This window comes from Homo sapiens, chromosome 13 (genome assembly GCF_000001405.40).
Source record: "Homo sapiens chromosome 13, GRCh38.p14 Primary Assembly".
Lineage (NCBI taxonomy): Eukaryota > Metazoa > Chordata > Mammalia > Primates > Hominidae > Homo > Homo sapiens.
In genome coordinates this window covers 41,245,610-41,262,391 of record NC_000013.11, presented here as the reverse complement: position 1 = coordinate 41,262,391, position 16,782 = coordinate 41,245,610, and the positions used below count along the sequence as shown (strand labels likewise).

General features: G+C 39.9%; 1 protein-coding gene across 30 annotated transcripts in view; it reads left to right on the top strand.

Annotated features, from left to right (window-relative positions):
• The window catches only part of MTRF1 (mitochondrial translation release factor 1), a 95,670-nt gene that overhangs the window by 49,647 nt on the left and 29,241 nt on the right, over positions 1–16,782 (top strand). For 9 of the 30 annotated variants that reach the window (NM_001354074.1, XM_011535317.3, NM_004294.4 and 6 more), the window contains 4 exons: positions 1,477–1,899; positions 7,772–7,863; positions 9,362–9,443; positions 9,640–9,747. In NM_001354074.1, coding sequence (NP_001341003.1) covers positions 1,485–1,899; positions 7,772–7,863; positions 9,362–9,443; positions 9,640–9,747 — 697 coding nt within the window. In that variant the 5' untranslated portion in view covers positions 1,477–1,484. Of the gene's footprint in view, positions 1–56; positions 1,900–7,771; positions 7,864–9,361; positions 9,444–9,639; positions 9,748–16,782 lie in introns of all 30 variants that reach the window. The other 21 variants (XM_047430785.1, XM_011535315.3, XM_017020859.3 and 18 more) reach the window with 11 other exon arrangements.

The following is a 16,782-nucleotide window of genomic DNA, read 5'->3' as shown; positions in this document are numbered from 1 at the left end:
TAGAGATCATTTTATTAACATTTTGGTATGTTTCTTTTTTTTTTTTTTTTTTTGAGACAGCGTGTTGCTTTGTCGCCCACGCTGGTTGCAGTGGTGCGATCTCAGTTCACTGCAACCTTCGCCTCCCAGGTTCAAGCGATTATCCTGCCTCAGCTTCCCGAGCAGCTAGGACTACAGGTGTGTGCCATCACGCTCAGCTAATTTTTTTGGTATTTTTAGTAGAGATGGGGTTTTCCCATGTTGGCCAGGCTGGTCTCGAACTCCTGACCTCAGATGATCTGCCCGCCTCGGCCTCCCAAAGTGGTAGGATTACAGGCGTGAGCCACTGTGCTCGGCACATTTTGGTATGTTTCTTATTTAACTTTCTTTTTAAAAAATACTCTATGTGCTTTTTTTTTTTTACATGTATACCTTATATTGTAGAATATTTTTTAAATGTAATTGAGATTCTATTTTGTTCCTTGCCTTTCTTGCTTAATATAATTGTCACCATTTAATATAACTGTAGAGCTTTTCACCAGCCCTACTTTCTTGGTCTATTAATACTTGAACTTTTCTTCCTTTAGGATCTCAGCTAAACGGGAAGCATTTTTGAAAAGTGATTGCACAATTGAGAGTGAAAATTACTGAGTCCTGAACAGGCAACTTACATTCTAATACCAGCTCTGTCTCCATCCAGCCGACTGAATAGTCGTGATTAAGTTACTTGACTTCCTTGGATATCTAGATCCTTAAAGTTAAAGAATTATACAAGATAATAATATTTTCTTCAAACTTTAGAAAATGACTTTATGAACCGCCTTAAGTTTGTATGTTTTCATAGCTTTCAAGAGCTTGTTTACACACTCAATTCTAGATTCTAGATACTTTCTAGAAAATAACTGACTTAACTCATTCAATTGATATATTTGTTAGTTGTACTCCTACTCATATGCTTCAGTTAATTATATATGTTGAACAGGTAGGAAGCAGTGCTGTTTTTATTTATTTTAATATGTTATTCATACATTTGAAGAATTATGTTCTTTCTGTAGGCAGCTGAATTTTTTTTTTTTTTGAGACGAAGTCTTGGTATTGTCCCCCTTGCTGGAGTGCAATGGCATGATCTCGGCTCACTGCAACCTCTGCCTCCTGGGTTCAGGCAATTCTCCTGCCTCAGACTCCTGAGTAGCTGGGATTACAGGCGCCTGCCACCACGCCCGGATAATTTTTGTATTTTTAGTAGAGACAGTGTTTCACTATGTTGGCTGGGCTGGTCTCGAACTCCTGCCCTCAGGTGATCCGCCTGCCTCAGCCTCCCAAAGTGCTGGGATTACTGGCGTGAGCCACTGCTGCCAGCCGGCAGTTGAATTTTAAGACTGTGGAGCTGGCTGAGGCAGTAGATGAAACAAGATTTCTTGATGTTCCTTCCAGGTTTATTATGCATGTATCTTTAGAGATGATTTTTTTTTAAAGACTGTGTTTATTGTATTTCAGATGCTGAGATGAATCGTCACCTGTGTGTTTGGCTTTTTAGACATCCATCTCTTAATGGTTACCTCCAGTGTCACATCCAGCTCCATTCTCATCAATTTAGACAGATACATCTTGATACAAGGCTGCAAGTTTTTAGACAAAACAGGAATTGCATTCTTCATCTGTTAAGTAAGAATTGGTCCAGGAGATATTGCCATCAAGACACCAAGATGCTCTGGAAGCATAAAGCACTACAGAAATATATGGAGAACCTGAGTAAGGAGTACCAAACACTTGAGCAATGTCTGCAGCATATCCCTGTGAATGAGGAAAACCGAAGGTCCTTGAACAGAAGGCATGCTGAGTTGGCACCTCTTGCAGCCATTTACCAAGAAATTCAGGAGACTGAACAAGCAATTGAAGAATTAGAATCAATGTGTAAAAGTAGGTAAAAGATACTTATGTGTCCTGCATAAGGGCTATGAAAAAAAAAACCACACACTTATATGCGTGTGTGTAAGTACAGATTTGATTTTCTAAGTTAAAGCTTTATTGAACTTAGTCTTTGTTTTTTTTTTCCCACAGAAGCAGGTTCTCACTTGTTGCCCAGGCAGGAGTGCAGTGACTCAATCGTAGCTCACTGTAACCTGTAAGTCCTGGCCCCCCACTTCAGCATCCTGAGTAGCTAGGACTATTGTGCCAGGGCTTTCCAAAGCGATATGATTATAGCCACCGAGCCACTGAGGCTGGCCTGAACTCAGTCTTTTAAAAAAACCTACAAGTAATAAGCTCAACACTTGGAAAGAACAGGACTCTGTACCCAGAGTATTTGACACACTTTAGCTACTAAAGATCAATGTACTAAGTAAACAGGCTCCTCGTGGTACTTCCCGTGGTCTCAAGGTCTGGGAGACAAAATGTTGGTCTTTTCAGAAGCTTTATTTTATTGAGCAGACCTTTATTGAACACTGTACCTACATACTAGGGCTACACATACAGTTCCTACCCCATCAGTGGGCTTCTATGGTCCAGTGAGAGAAACTTATTTAAGTATTGTTTATAATGTGAGACCTGCTCTACTAGAGGGAGGCACAGTTTCATGGGAGCAAAGAGGAGAGGGCACTCAAACCAGCCTGGATTGATTGGGTAAATCTTCCTGGAGGGGACTGCGCATTAGTGGAACCAGGAAGGAAGCTTTTATTTTTTATTTTTATGTTTTTTTTTTTTTTTTTTTTGAGACGGAGTCTCGCTCTGTCGCCCAGGCTGGAGTGCAGTGGCGGGATCTCGGCTCACTGCAAGCTCCGCCTCCCGGGTTCACGCCATTCTCCTGCCTCAGCCTCCCAAGTAGCTGGGACTACAGGCCCCTGCCACCATGCCCAGCTAATTTTTTTTGTATTTCAGTAGAGACGGGGTTTCACCATGTTGGCCAGGCTGGTCTCAAACTCCTGATCTCAAGTGATCCACCCACCTTGGCCTCCCAATGTGCTGGGATTACAGGCATGAGCCACCATGCCCAGCCAGTACTTTATTTCTTTTCATTACTGAATTATATTCCATTGTATGGATATACCACATTTTATTTATCCATTCATCAGTTGATGAACATTGAGTTGTTTCCACTTTTTGGTTATTATAAATAACGATACTGTGAACTTTTGTGTACAAGTTGTTTTGTGGACATAGATTGCTGGTTCATGTGGTAACTCTATGTTTAACCTTTTGAGGAAGTGCTAGACTGTTTTCCAAAGTGACTATAACGATTTTACAGCTCTACACACAGTGTATGAGGGTTCATATTTCTCCACGTACTTGCCAACACTTATTATCCGCCCTTTCAATTATTGCCATCCTATGAATGTGAAGTGGTGTGTTATTGTGGTTTTGATTTGCATTTTCCTGAAGATTAATGATGTTGAGCATCTTTTCTGGTGCTTATTTGGCCATTTGTGTATCATCTTGGGAGAAATCACTGTTCAGATCCTTTGCCAGTTTTTAAATTTAATTGTCTTTTCATTATTGAGTTGTGAGTGGTCTTTATCTTCTAGGTAAAAGTCCATGATCAGATATATGATTTGCAAAAATTTCCCATTCTGTGGTTTTCTCTTCACTTTTTTGATACTGTCTTTTGAAGCATGATATTTTTAAATTTTGATGATGTCCAATTTATCTTTTTTTCTCTTGTTGCTTGAGTTTTGGGAGTCGTATCTAAGAAAATTGCCTAATCTAAGGGCACAAAGGTTTACATCTGTGTTTTCTTACAAGACTGACGTATTTTTTATTTTTATCCCATGCATTTAGGTCTTTGATCTATTTTAGTTATTTTTGTATATGGTGTATTTATTTTTTATGTTTTTTTTTTTTGTTTTTTTTTTTAAGAGATGGTCCCTCACTCAAACTCCGGGGCTCAAACAATCCTCCTGCCTCAGCCTTCTGAGTAGCTGGGACTACCGGCTATTTTTTATCTTAGTTTTTTATTTTAGTATTTCTCAATACTGCTATTGCCTCTACATTTTTTCTCTTATGAAAATTTTCGAAAATTTTTATACAGAAGTTGAGAGAAAAGTTTAATGAACTAACCTATGATTCAACATTTATCCAGATTTGGCTATTAACTTTTAGTTTCTAGATTTTCTTCTGTGCTTCATTTTGTTTCATTTAGCCTTAGCAGTATTATGTGATACACAGGCCAGTCACTGTTATACCTGTAAAGTCCTGGATTTTTGAAGCCTTCCATTTTTCTGCCTTCTATTGATGGTACCACAAGTCTCTTACGTACGTTTAATGGAGATATTTTTTACTCTTTTGCATAATGCCACACAGATTTGTAGTTAATTAGTTTTGAGAAGGTTGCTTGTGTATAGTAGAAGTTTATGAAATGCATTCTAATTAAATTGGCATAACTTCTTTCAGCCTTGGTTGTATCATGTATAATATTAGATTGGATTACATCATTTCTAAAGGCTCTACTACCTCTACAATTTTTCTATAATAATAGTAATAATAGCTACATTTACAAAGTCCTCTTATGTGCTAGGCACTAAGCTCAGTGCTTTACAAATATTATCTCATTTGAATGCTCAGGTAACCTTATGAGGTAGGATATATGATTATTCCCCCTCCCCCTTTTTGTTTCTTTTAAGAGACAGAGTCTTGCTCTGTGGCCCAGGCTGGAATGCAGTAGTGTAATCATAGCTCACTTTAACCTTGAACTCCTGGACTCAAGCAATCCTCCAACCTCAGCCTCCCAAGTAGCTGGGACTACAGGTGTGTGCAACCATTCCCAGCTATTTTTTTTATTTTTAGTAAAGATGAGGTCTCACTGTGTTGCCCAGCCTGTGTTTTCCCTCATTTTATACATTTTATAGATGAGGACATTGAAAGGTTAAATTTGCAAAGATCACTCAGCCAGCGAGGGGAGAAGCAAGGATTTGAACCCAAGCAATGAGATTCCAAAGCCTCTGCTCTTATCCACTGCTTGATGGATGATTCAAAGTCCAGCAGGGTCTACCTTTGTGATGTAGCTTGCATGAGTCCTGTTCTATTCCTTCCACTAATTTATATCTTCATTACATCTCTGACTTAGCTGATTGCAATCAATTCCTAACTTGTAGCCCTACCTCTAGGCGTTCTAGTTCAAGTACAATCTTATTCATGTTACTCACCTGTTCCCATTGTCTATAAGTAGAGATTTCTTGGTTTGGTATTTAAAAGCCCCTGCAGATTAACCCCAGCCTCTCCATGTACTATGTTAATTCTCTTTGCATATTCTGCCTTCCAACCAAAATAGACAACTTGCCATTCTCTGGATATATTCGTGCTGTCCCATGTCTGTATCTTTGCCCACGTTGTTAACATGCCTGGTTCACCTTGTTAAAAGCCAGTCCTCTTACAAAGCTTGGCTGAGATGTCATACTTTGGCTTCAGTACCCTTTGCAAAACAAGTGTGGTTACCTTTCTCTGTTTTGTATTATAATCCTTTATGTAACTGTCTTAACCTCAGCCCCTAACCCCATTGTCTGTTCTTCAAGGTCAGGTCCTGTGTCTTACTCATTTTTCTATCTTCTGCAGCATGAAACATGGGACATAATAGGTTCTCAAATCTTTGTTGATATAATAAAATTGAATTAGACGGATTCTACAGGTTTACAGCAAATAATAAGAGAACACAAAAATAATTTTATATGATTGCAAATCAGAAGGTTTTTCTGATACCTTTGAATCAGCAGATCTCTATTAAGTAATGTCAGCCTGGTTTCCATTTGTGGCATATGTGCACAATGTGGTACTAGTGGTGACATTAAAATTCTACAACAGGCCGGGTGCGGTGGCTCATGCCTGTAATCCCAGTACTTTGGGAGGCCGGGGCGGGTGGATCAGGAGGTCAGGAGATGAAGACCAGCCTGCCAACATGGTGAAACCCCGTCTCTACTAAAAATACAAAAATTAGCTGGGTGTGGTGGTGCGCGCCTGTAATCTCAACTACTCGGGAGGCTGAGGCAGGAGAATTGCTTGAACCCAGGAGGCGGAGGTTGCAATGAGTCGAGATCACACCACTGCACTCCAGCCTGGGCAACAGAGCAAGACTCCATCTCAAAAAAAAAAAAAAAATTCTACAACAGATGGTCTGTAATTAGAATTAGTTCTGATGACACCTTAGCCAGGAAGCTCTCATTAACTGCTAAAGTCTGGTTTAGTCCCCTTCATTTATGCCCCTATGGCACACTGGCACTCCCCCATCTCATATTGTAATCATGTGTATGTGTTTGCCACCAGACTGGGCCACTTGAGGCCTGAAGCCATGTTTTTTTCTTCGTTGTCTCCCCAGCAACTAGCAGAGTGTCTAGCAAAATGTTAAATGTTGAAAGCTTGAATGAGGCACAGAATCCCACCAGAGCTTAATGACTTCCATGACTAGAGAATAATTTAAAAGAGTCTTCTCTTCTTTATAATTGTGATTCTTCATTTCTATTTTCTTTATTATTAAGGGTCGGAATTTTTTACCTCAATTTGCAGCAATGGCCACTGACAAATAAAGTCTCCAAGCCTCTAAAGCAGTGGAGTCAAAGGTCATGAGGTCTACCATCCTTGGTCAATAACTAGATCATTGTTATCTTGTTTTGCTAGAGTTCCATGATTTAACTTTCTCCTTTGGAAATAACAGAAAAAGGCCCATTTTCTCCATACAGGACAGGTTACAAAAATGTATGTTTTGTCTGACACACGTGATATGTATTTTATTTTTTTAAAGACAGAGTCTTTCTCTGTCACCCAGGCTGGAGTGCAGTGGCATGACCTTGGCTCACCGCAACCTCTACCTCCTGGGTTCAAGCAATTCTCCTGCCTCAGCCTCCCGAGTAGCTAGGGGTACACGCGTGCACCACCATGCCTGTATAATTTTTGCATTTTTAGTAGAGATGGGATTTCACCACTTTGGCCAGGCTGGTCTCGAACTTCTGACCTCAAGTGATCCGCCTGCCTTGGCCTCCCAAAGTGCTGGGATTACAGGCATTAGTCACCGCACCTGGCCATGATATGTATTTTAAAGTACCGTACTAAGCCAGGCACAGTGGCACGCACCTGTAATCTCAGCTACCTGGGAGGCTGAAGCAGGAAGATCGCTTGAGTCCAGGAGTTTGAGGCTGTAGTGTACCATGATCACATCTGAGAATAGCTACTCCAGCCTGGGCAACATAGTGAGTCCTCATCTCTCTTAAAAAAAAAACAATGTGAACTGAGTATGAATGTATCAAGAGATTTTAAGAATTCTTATTTCTGACTTCTCTTGGATAATATGGAAGTTGTAGCTGTGCTGGACCATGTCACAGTATGCTGAGTTACAGCTGCTACCTTTGGACAGGAAATGCTCACTCCAGTTTGCTCCAAATCTTATCTTATTTGGGTTTATATTTAATTAGCTAGTAGCTTTTTAAACCTGTTTGATTAATCACCAATTTATATAATTATAGACATTCAAATAACGAGCTTTGTAAATGTGGGTTTCTATATTAAGCATATTTTTGTTACTACTGTTAATAGATTGATTAGAGATGAAATGTTTTAAGCTATTTTACCTTTAAAAAAAAAAACACAAGGTTTTGGGAAGCACGATTATATTGCTTTTCACATTGAGTTTTTTGGAAATGCTTAGCAAATACTTGTTAATTGACATTCTCCAAATATTCTAAATGTTCCTTTGTATAATCCCTTGCCTTTGCAACTGAAATAAAACTTAGTAGCCAAAGAGGAACATGGCTACTTAGGAGTTTCTCTGTAAGTATTTAAAAACTTTATCATTATTTCTGTTTCTGGCTTTTAGGCCTAAATAAACAAGATGAAAAGCAGTTACAAGAACTTGCACTGGAAGAAAGGCAAACCATTGATCAAAAAATCAACATGTTGTACAATGAGGTAGGTTTTCAGAGGTCGACTAGTTTCAATAGTGCTGTATAAAGGAATGCTGTTTTTGCTAGACTCTGCTTCGGTGCTCATAGTGGTTTCCAAACACTGTTTTAAGTGTTCTCTTATGATAAGTGATCAAGCTGGTCTCCTGTAATTTGCTGCAGAATGAGAATGAAGAAATTACGATGTCAAATAATAAAGACTCCCAGGGTAAAAAAAAAAAAATTCAAAGTTGAGTCTGTTAACTTGTTAAGCAAGAGAATACGTGCTGGTAAAGAAATTTAGTTCACCACAGGGAAGAGTCAGAGGATTTTAAGAGTGAGAAGAGGAGGAGGAGTTCATGGTGGCTGTTAATTAAGGATTGGAAATTTGCACTCTGGATAGAATGGAATGAATCCAAAGGTGTAAAAATAGTTGGTTAACACACATCTTTAGTTAGGTCTAGTAAGGGTGTGGCATACTGGAGCTTCTCAGGGTTGATGATACTGTATCAGCATCAGCTGATATCTCCTAGACATGGAAATGGAAGATTTCCCTTCCATAGTGGTCTCTTTTCATTCTTGCTTAATGGATGGTTTGTCTACAAAGACAATGAAGAACACACTACTGTATACCATGTTTCCCTCTGTCACGTTTGCCGTCCTCCTACCTTCAGTGTTTCTTACTCTGGGAATCCAATAGAGGGGCTTTTTGAAAAGTTAAGGGGGAGGTTACATGGGATATCAGTTATTTTTATTACAAATTGAACCAGTTAATCAAAGGCAGAAGATGTCTGACTCTCAGTCTGTCTCATATTCTCTCCCATAGACTATATCATTTCTAGCAGAGATGGAGTATTTCAGAAATTGGCAGTAGGGACAGTCATGACACATAGGTACTTTTACTTTGATTTGAAAAACCTTTTAGTAATAATGAAATTACTTCCCTTTTCTTCCTAAGAGGAATGTCGGTTACTTTCTTTATTAGGAAGCCCTTTTTCTTTCTGGTCACAGCTGAGAAACTCATTTTGAGCCTTATCTTGGGAGCCCTCAACATAGTCTTTAATTAGAGCGTCTCTGCTGAGAAGGCACAGCATGGCTGGTGTCTGCTGTCAGTTATAGCAGAAGATAATATGAAATCATTTCTCAAAGTGAAGACTTTCAAAGCCTTGCTTCATTCATTAGATGAAAGAAGCTACTGTTCAGAACTAATTATAAGCGCCAAAATCTGAAGAAAATTGAATGGAACACCCTGGACTTTGATCTGAACTTCTGCATTCTAGAAAATTAAGATAATCTGATAACAGTGCAGAAAATATACTGACAAGTAACTCCATTGTTAACATGAATTGATCACCTATTTTAGGTCTAATTAGTTCTACTTATTATAGCATTTTTGGAATACCCTGTTTGGGATACTATATGATTTTGCCAATTATTGATTTTTTTCAATGTTTTTCGGGCCTTTATTTAATTCAGTAATAGTGTACCGGGGAAAATATACACACAAATGCTGATTTTTATTCCAGCTTTTCCAGAGCCTTGTGCCAAAGGAGAAATATGACAAAAATGATGTTATTTTAGAGGTGACAGCTGGAAGGACTACTGGAGGTCAGTAAACTTACTTTATTATTTAAATGATCTAAAAAGTCCTTGAATTTTACCTTATTTGATAACACTAACTTTAAAAGTCCATTAAATGTATTTAAATTTGGAAATAGTTATTCTTTATTTCCTAAAGGACTTAGTCTTAAGGGTGGCTTTCCGAAATTTGTCCTGACTAAATATTTTTCGTATTTTGTTTTAGGTGACATCTGCCAACAATTTACCCGAGAAATATTTGACATGTACCAGAATTATTCGTGCTATAAACACTGGCAATTTGAACTTCTGAATTATACACCAGCAGATTATGGTAGGCATATTGAGGAATTTGCCTGTAGGAGATACTGAAAATTATTTTACCTCTGATCTTGATTAGAACCATATTGTCCCATTTTTTTTTGAAACTTTTGGTGTATATCTACTAAACACTGTGGCATAGGCTCATCAATCACAGTGGCTTACTATTATAGCAGAGTTGTTAGCTAGGAGAAGACAGTAGAAAGGAGGGAAGCATTTGCTTAGGGAGAAATATGTGAATTAGAGAAAATTCCCCTGAGGAACTTAGATACGTATCTTGCCTCAAAATCATTTTTCTCTATTATTGAAAGCAAAGGTATATTAAGGTTTTTACTTTAAATAACTTTATAAAATAATATAAGTATTACTAATTAGACTAAGTGGCTAATGTGTTTGATTTTTATGAGAATGCGGAAAAAGTTAATCATTTGTCTTTATTTTCAAGAAACTTCTCTTTTGGCTGATAAAAATTTATAATGGCTGGGCACTATGGTTCACGCCTGTAATCCCAGCACTCTGGGAGGCCAAGATGGGTGGATCACCTGAGGTCAGGAGTTTGAGACCAGCCTGGCCAACATGGCAAAACCCTGACTGTACTAAAAATACAAAAATTAACTGGGCATGGTGGCACGTGCCTGTAGTCCCAAATACTCGAGAGGCTGAGGCAGGAGAATCGCTTGAACCCGGGATGGGGAGGTTGCAGTGAGCCAAGATCACACCAGTACACTCCAGCCTGGGCAACAAAGTGAGACTGTCTCAAAAAAAAAAAATGATACAACATAGACAAACAGTGCAGTTCTTTACCTTTAAATACTCAAGTATATTGATTGAAAACATGATAATAATTCTCTCATTTGTCTCATTCTTTTAATCCATCTGAAAGTTTTCCTCTGCTTGGTTACACAGTGATACATTGTAGTAGACAGAGGAGTCATCAGTAATAAACCACAAACTATCAAAGTGGGGAGAGAGGATTCATGTAAGTTGAGCAGTAAAGGGAAATAAGAACCAGCCTACAGCATAAGGAAGTTGTACCTGGTACAGATTTCAGATACAACCAGTGGTCAGGAAAGGGGATTATCCATGAGAGCAGAGAGAAGAAACAACCTGAGCAGCAGCATGCTGGTGGGAGAGGTCTTGGTGTGTGGGGAAGGGAGTGGTGGGGAGGCCAGTTTACCCATAGCTTGTCAGGGAAGTAATCGCTGAAGTAGGTTTGAGTGGATAGATTTTGAACAGCTTTGATTGATGGGCAATAGGAAGCTGTTGAAAATTGCATTAATAAGAATATGATTTGATAAGATATATATTTTAAGGAGATTATTTTGACAATAGTGATGGATGGATGGATGGATGGATGGAAAGGCTAGATTTAGTGCAGACTGCAAAGAGGTTATTAGAGTAATCCAGATATGACTAAGAGTTAGAATGGGGAGTAGAATTATCTGTCAGAGACCTGCAAAGGATGAATAGGCATAATTTGCTAAGTAACTAGATGTGAGAGGGGCTGTTGTTTATCCAGTATGTCTTGTGTGCACAACTTCACACCCTTGTGAAATAGATATTACTAATCTCATTTTACAGATGAGGATCTAGGCTCAGAGAGTAAGTAACTAATCCAAGACCACACAATAAGTAATGGCAATCCTGGGATTACATTTTAGTCTGTTTGATCCAGAGCTGCACTATATCCCATTATTCTATTCTGACACAAAGGAGATGAGCCACAGGGAGTCTAATCTTTCTAGCTGAGAAGACTGTGATACTCATTCATGCCATTGAATGGAATAGAAGTTGGAAGGCAGAAACCATTTGGAAAGAATAATGATGAATGGTTTTTGAATCATTAAGTTTGAGGTTATAGTGAGCATCCACTTAGAAATAGTCAGTAAATAGGCTGGGCACAGTGGCTCACGCCTATAATCCCAGCACTTCGGGAGACAGTTCGAGACCAGCCTGACCAACATGGTAAAACCCCGTCTGTACTAACAATACAAAAATTAGCTGGGTGTGGTGGTGCACACCTGTAATCTCAGCTACTCGGGAGGCTGAGGCACGAGAATCATTTGAACCCAGGAGGCACGGGTTGCAGTGAGTCGAGATCACACCACTGCACTCAGCCTGGGCGATAGAGTAAGACTCAGTCTCAAAAAAAAAAAAAAATTTGGAGTAAATATTGAAATTGAGTAACCAGATCTTTGGTGAGACAACAGAACTCAGGCAAGCTATTTGATACCTGTCAGCTCAGAGATAATGTCTGATACTGAGAGAATAAGTGAGGGAGAGTCTATAGAGAGAGAGCATTCAGGGCAACAAGCTTTGGAGAATGGCCATGTTTAGAAGGATAGACCAGTTAGCAAAATAAAAAGAGGATTCAAGATAATCAGAAAAAGGATGAGGACAGTAAAATATTATGGAAGCAAAAGAGGAGAGAGTTTCAAGGAGAATGTAAGAAGAAACAGCAGCATTATGAAAAGGAGAGTAGTAGAAAATATCCTGAGTGAACTCTGATAGGTGTATTTCGAATGAGACTTTCAAGAATAAAAGGGAGATAACCTCAATAACAGGAAGAGAGATTCTGTTCCAGGTTTGTATAGCAGCCTAAACAATGATTGGGAAACCTTTCCTTTAGACACACTAAGTCACTGGCAAAATAAAATAAAAATATTTTGAAAAGCTAAAAGCCCTCTTTAAAAAAAAAACATTACAAATATTTTACTCATATATCTTTAAAGTTAAAGACTAAGGGCTGGGTGTGGTGGCTCATGCCTGTAATCTCAGCACTCTGGGAGACCAAGGCGGGTGGATCATTTGAGGCCAGGAGTTTGAGGCCAGCCTGGCCACCATGTCTACTACAAATACAAAAATTGGCCAGGCGTGGCAGTGCGTACTTGTAATCCCAGCTTCTTGGGAGGCTGAGGCATGGGAATCACTTGAACCCAGGAGGCAGAGGTTGCAGTGGGCCAAGATCATGCCACTGCACTCCAGCCTGGGCGACAGAATGACTCCCATCTCCAAAAAAAAAAAAAAAAAAAAAAAAAGAAAAAAAAATCAAAGACTAAGAATAAACCTTTATTCATTGAAATTATAATTTCTAAAAAATTGATTTCTTTCTTTTTTGAGGCAGAGTTTCACTCTGTCACCTAGGCTGGAGTGCAGTGGCGTGATATCAGCTCACTGCAAGCTCCGCCTCCCAGGTTCACACCATTCTCCTGCCTCAGCCTCCTGAGTAGCTGGGACTACAGGCACCCGCCACTACGCCCGGCTAATTTTTTGTATTTTTAGTAGAGACGGGGTTTCACTGTGTTAGCCAGGATGGTCTCCATCTCCTGATCTTGTGATCCACCCACCTCGGCCTCCCAAAGTACTGGGATTACAGGCGTGAGCCACCGCGCCCGGCCTAAAAAATTGATTTCTTTATTAGAAGCAGTTAGGAGAAGAAAAGGGTGTGGATAAAGAAAGGGCAAAAAGCACCTACCTTATAATATATACATGTTAAATTACATATATGTGCACACAAATTTTTTTTTAATGTTTAATTGAAATGGAGAGGAACTCATAGATAAGCACAGAGATTCACATAGCACTAAAAGCTAAAGTTGAAAAGAAACAGTTTCATGTACAAATTCATACATTAAGTGACTTTCAAAGTCATGTCATTTTGTGGCAATAGGTACAGATAGAGACAATATTTAACCATTTCAGAAATAGTTCAAACTAAATGATAACAAGATAGTCTATGGAAGCAGTGGAGGGTAATGGCTCTAGATATGTAGTGTAAGTCTGACACTATTGATCTGTAAACCTGGTATCAAATGAATTGAAATATTTTCCACATTAAAGGGATTCTATGAAATATATTGCATTATCTCCCCAGCCCTCGACTGATGAATGTTTATAATTATGTTTTGTTATTCTCTACTCACGAGTTAATTTGGGGTGGGGTGACTTACGGTAATGTAATTGTGAATTTTATGTGTCCACATGACTCACCTTTCACCACAACTGCGAGAAACATATTTGTCGGGAAGCCCCAGCATCCTTCAAGAGCTCTGTGATCACTCTTCTCTGTAGGTCAGACCATACAGTGGGAACTTTGGTCACTGAATTGGGAAACCTAAATGTAGTAGGAGTAATTCGATCCCAGGGTGGCAGGGGCCAACTGGTGGTACCCCACTGCCAAACACCAAGTAGTAGGCAGAGTTACCATCAGACAGCAGAGTCAAAATAGAAAGCAGAGGCTGGGCGTAGTGGCTTACGCCTGTAATCACAGCACTTTGGGAGACTGAGGCAGGTGGATCACCTGAGGTCAGGAGGTCGAGACCATCTTGGCCAACATGGCAAAACCCCGTTTCTACTAAAAATACAAAAATTAGCTGAGTGTGGTGGTGCGTGGCTGTAACCTCAGTTACTCAGGAGGCTGAGATAGGAGAATCACTTGAACCCGGGAGGTGGAGGTTGCAGTGAGTCAACATCGCACCAGTTTCCAGACTTGAGCCAATTTCCAGACCCACAGTACCTCGAGTGAAGGGGAGTGTGTAGGTCCCCTTGAGGAGACACCCCAGGATACCGCCAGAACTTTCCCCCAGCCTCCGCAAAGGGACTTACAGCCTTTTAATACGGTAACTATGCTTTGGAGAAAAGAAAATAATCAGAACTTTTGAGGACTTCTAGTCACTGTCTGTAAGCCAACACTAATTCTAGGACATTCAAAAATGTCACTGTGATCTACTAGTCAGGATAGGGGCTTGTGTGGAGGTCAGATGATCAATGAGTTTTAGCTCATGCCCATCTCACAGTGGGCCCAATGTGAAAATAACCAATTCTGTGGTTATTTTGTGGTTTTTTCCCCAGTTCCAGAATGCAAAATTGGAGTAGACATACTCAGCAGCTGGTAGAATCCCCACACTGGTTCCCTGACCTATGGAGCAAAGGCTATTATGGTGGGAAAGACCAAGCGGAAGCCACCAGAACTGCCTCTAGGAAAAATAGCAAACTGAAAGCAATACTGCAGTTCTGGAGGGATTGTGGAGATTAGTGCTACCACCAAGGACCTGAAAAATGCAGGAGTGGTGATTCCCGCCACATCCCCATTTAGCTCTCCTATTTCGCCTGTACAGAAGACAGGTGGATCCTGGAGAAATGATGGATTATCGAAAGCTTAACCAGGCAGTGAATCCAATTGCAGCTGCTATACCAGATGTGGTTTCATCAGTTGAGCAAATTAACATAATCCCTGGTACCTGGTATACAGCTGTTGATGTGGCAAATGCCTTTTTCTCCATCCCTGTCAATGAAAGCCAGCAGAAGCAGTTTGCTTTCATCCAGCAAGGCCACAATACACCTTCATTGTCCTCCGTTAGGGTATATCAGCTCTCTAGCCCTTTGTCACAGTTTAGCTCATAGGGAGCTTGACAGCCTTTGTCTTCCACAAGATTTCACACCGATCCAGGAAAGCCAATGGCATAGTTCCAGTTACTACTGATACCTCTCGACAGCTGCATGTCAACACTGTACGAAATGTTCTGCATGTATTTATCTCAGTTATTCCTCACAAAAACCCTTGGAGAGTAGATTGAATTTCAAGGCTGTGTTGTATGCCTGCATATGCCTTGAGGCACTACTCATATACTCTTCAGTGTGAATGTTTCTCCCTTCAGGTGTGCGGTGCTGTAGCCCTAGTTATATACTATTATTATTTACACATAAGGAAACCAAAGCGTGGAACTAACTTGCCTGTGGACAGACAGCTAGGAAGAAGAGAAGCTTGAAATTTGAACTCAGATAGCCTAAGACTGGCTGTTTTAATCTATGCCAAATAAGTCACAGTCTTCTCTTATAATATTCAAGTATTTGCACATGACATGAAGTAAAGGGGATGGAGGGGTAATTTTGAAGTACAGTGTGAGTATGAGATGGGGAATTTAAATTTGTGGCATCACTCTGTTTTAGTTCCTGAATAATCTTTCATAGTATGTCCGTCCTACCACACTGAGTATGAATGTTAAACCATTTGATTTTTCATATCATCTGTGCCCTAAATGCATGTCAGCTTCTTTATTTGGTATGAAGATTATTATCCAGTAATATGTTTTATTGCTGGAGGAAGATCAGCTATGTTGGACTTATTAAGAGACAGTATGCCAGTCTCTCATAAGACACCTTCCTAAGGCATTTTCAAGGGTAATCTAAAACTATACTCAATTTTTGTCTAACATGCTGACTTTAGAAACCAAATGGTTATATCTTCATTAGAAATGCATTAGGAAGATGGCAGCTGCAGTAGCAGCATAGTTTTCAGTCTCTCTGAATCCCCATGCAAAAACACATATAGCAACTAGATATCAAAACCAAAAACCCATGGATAGCATTGACAGCATTCAGTTGCAGGGTATACCCACAAAACCCCAAAACAAACCACCAATTGCCATAGAACCTGCATGGTCTAAGCATCTGTGCAGGAGGAAGAAGGAAGCAATGGGGTGGCATCTGCCGGATCTGAAAACTGGAGAACCCTCTCATAACTCATGGTTATTCTCTGGAATTTGGGAGCCAGTTATGAACATGAGCTGGAGCTGGGAGGAGGTTTACGCTCTCCAATAATGAGTAAAGTGTTCGGGCTGTAGGTAAGGAGATTTAAAGAGGCCAGAGCAGTCTAGCCTGCATGACCTCTCAAAACAGATCCACTAGGGCGCCCTTCCAAAACAGGCCCCCACACTGAGGAAGGACTGCTGGGAGGAGAATCAAAGTTGAGCAGGACAGGGATAAAGAGGGAGGAAGGGAAAAGAAGATCTAATCCAAAGCCAGGGAGAACAGCCAGGAAGTCCCAGAAAGCAGGTTGCTATTTATTTGAACATTACACAAAGCCACAGAAAAGAGAACTCTGTGAAGTTAGAAAAGCCTTCCTGGACTCATTCTAAAATATATGGAAAAGTAATCTCACAGAAAAATAAACCATAGAAAAGTATTAAGGTTAAATTCCATACAAAGTTTTATGAGACACAAGAGAGTAAAGAGTAGAATAAGATCCCTACAGACAATGAAAGCACAT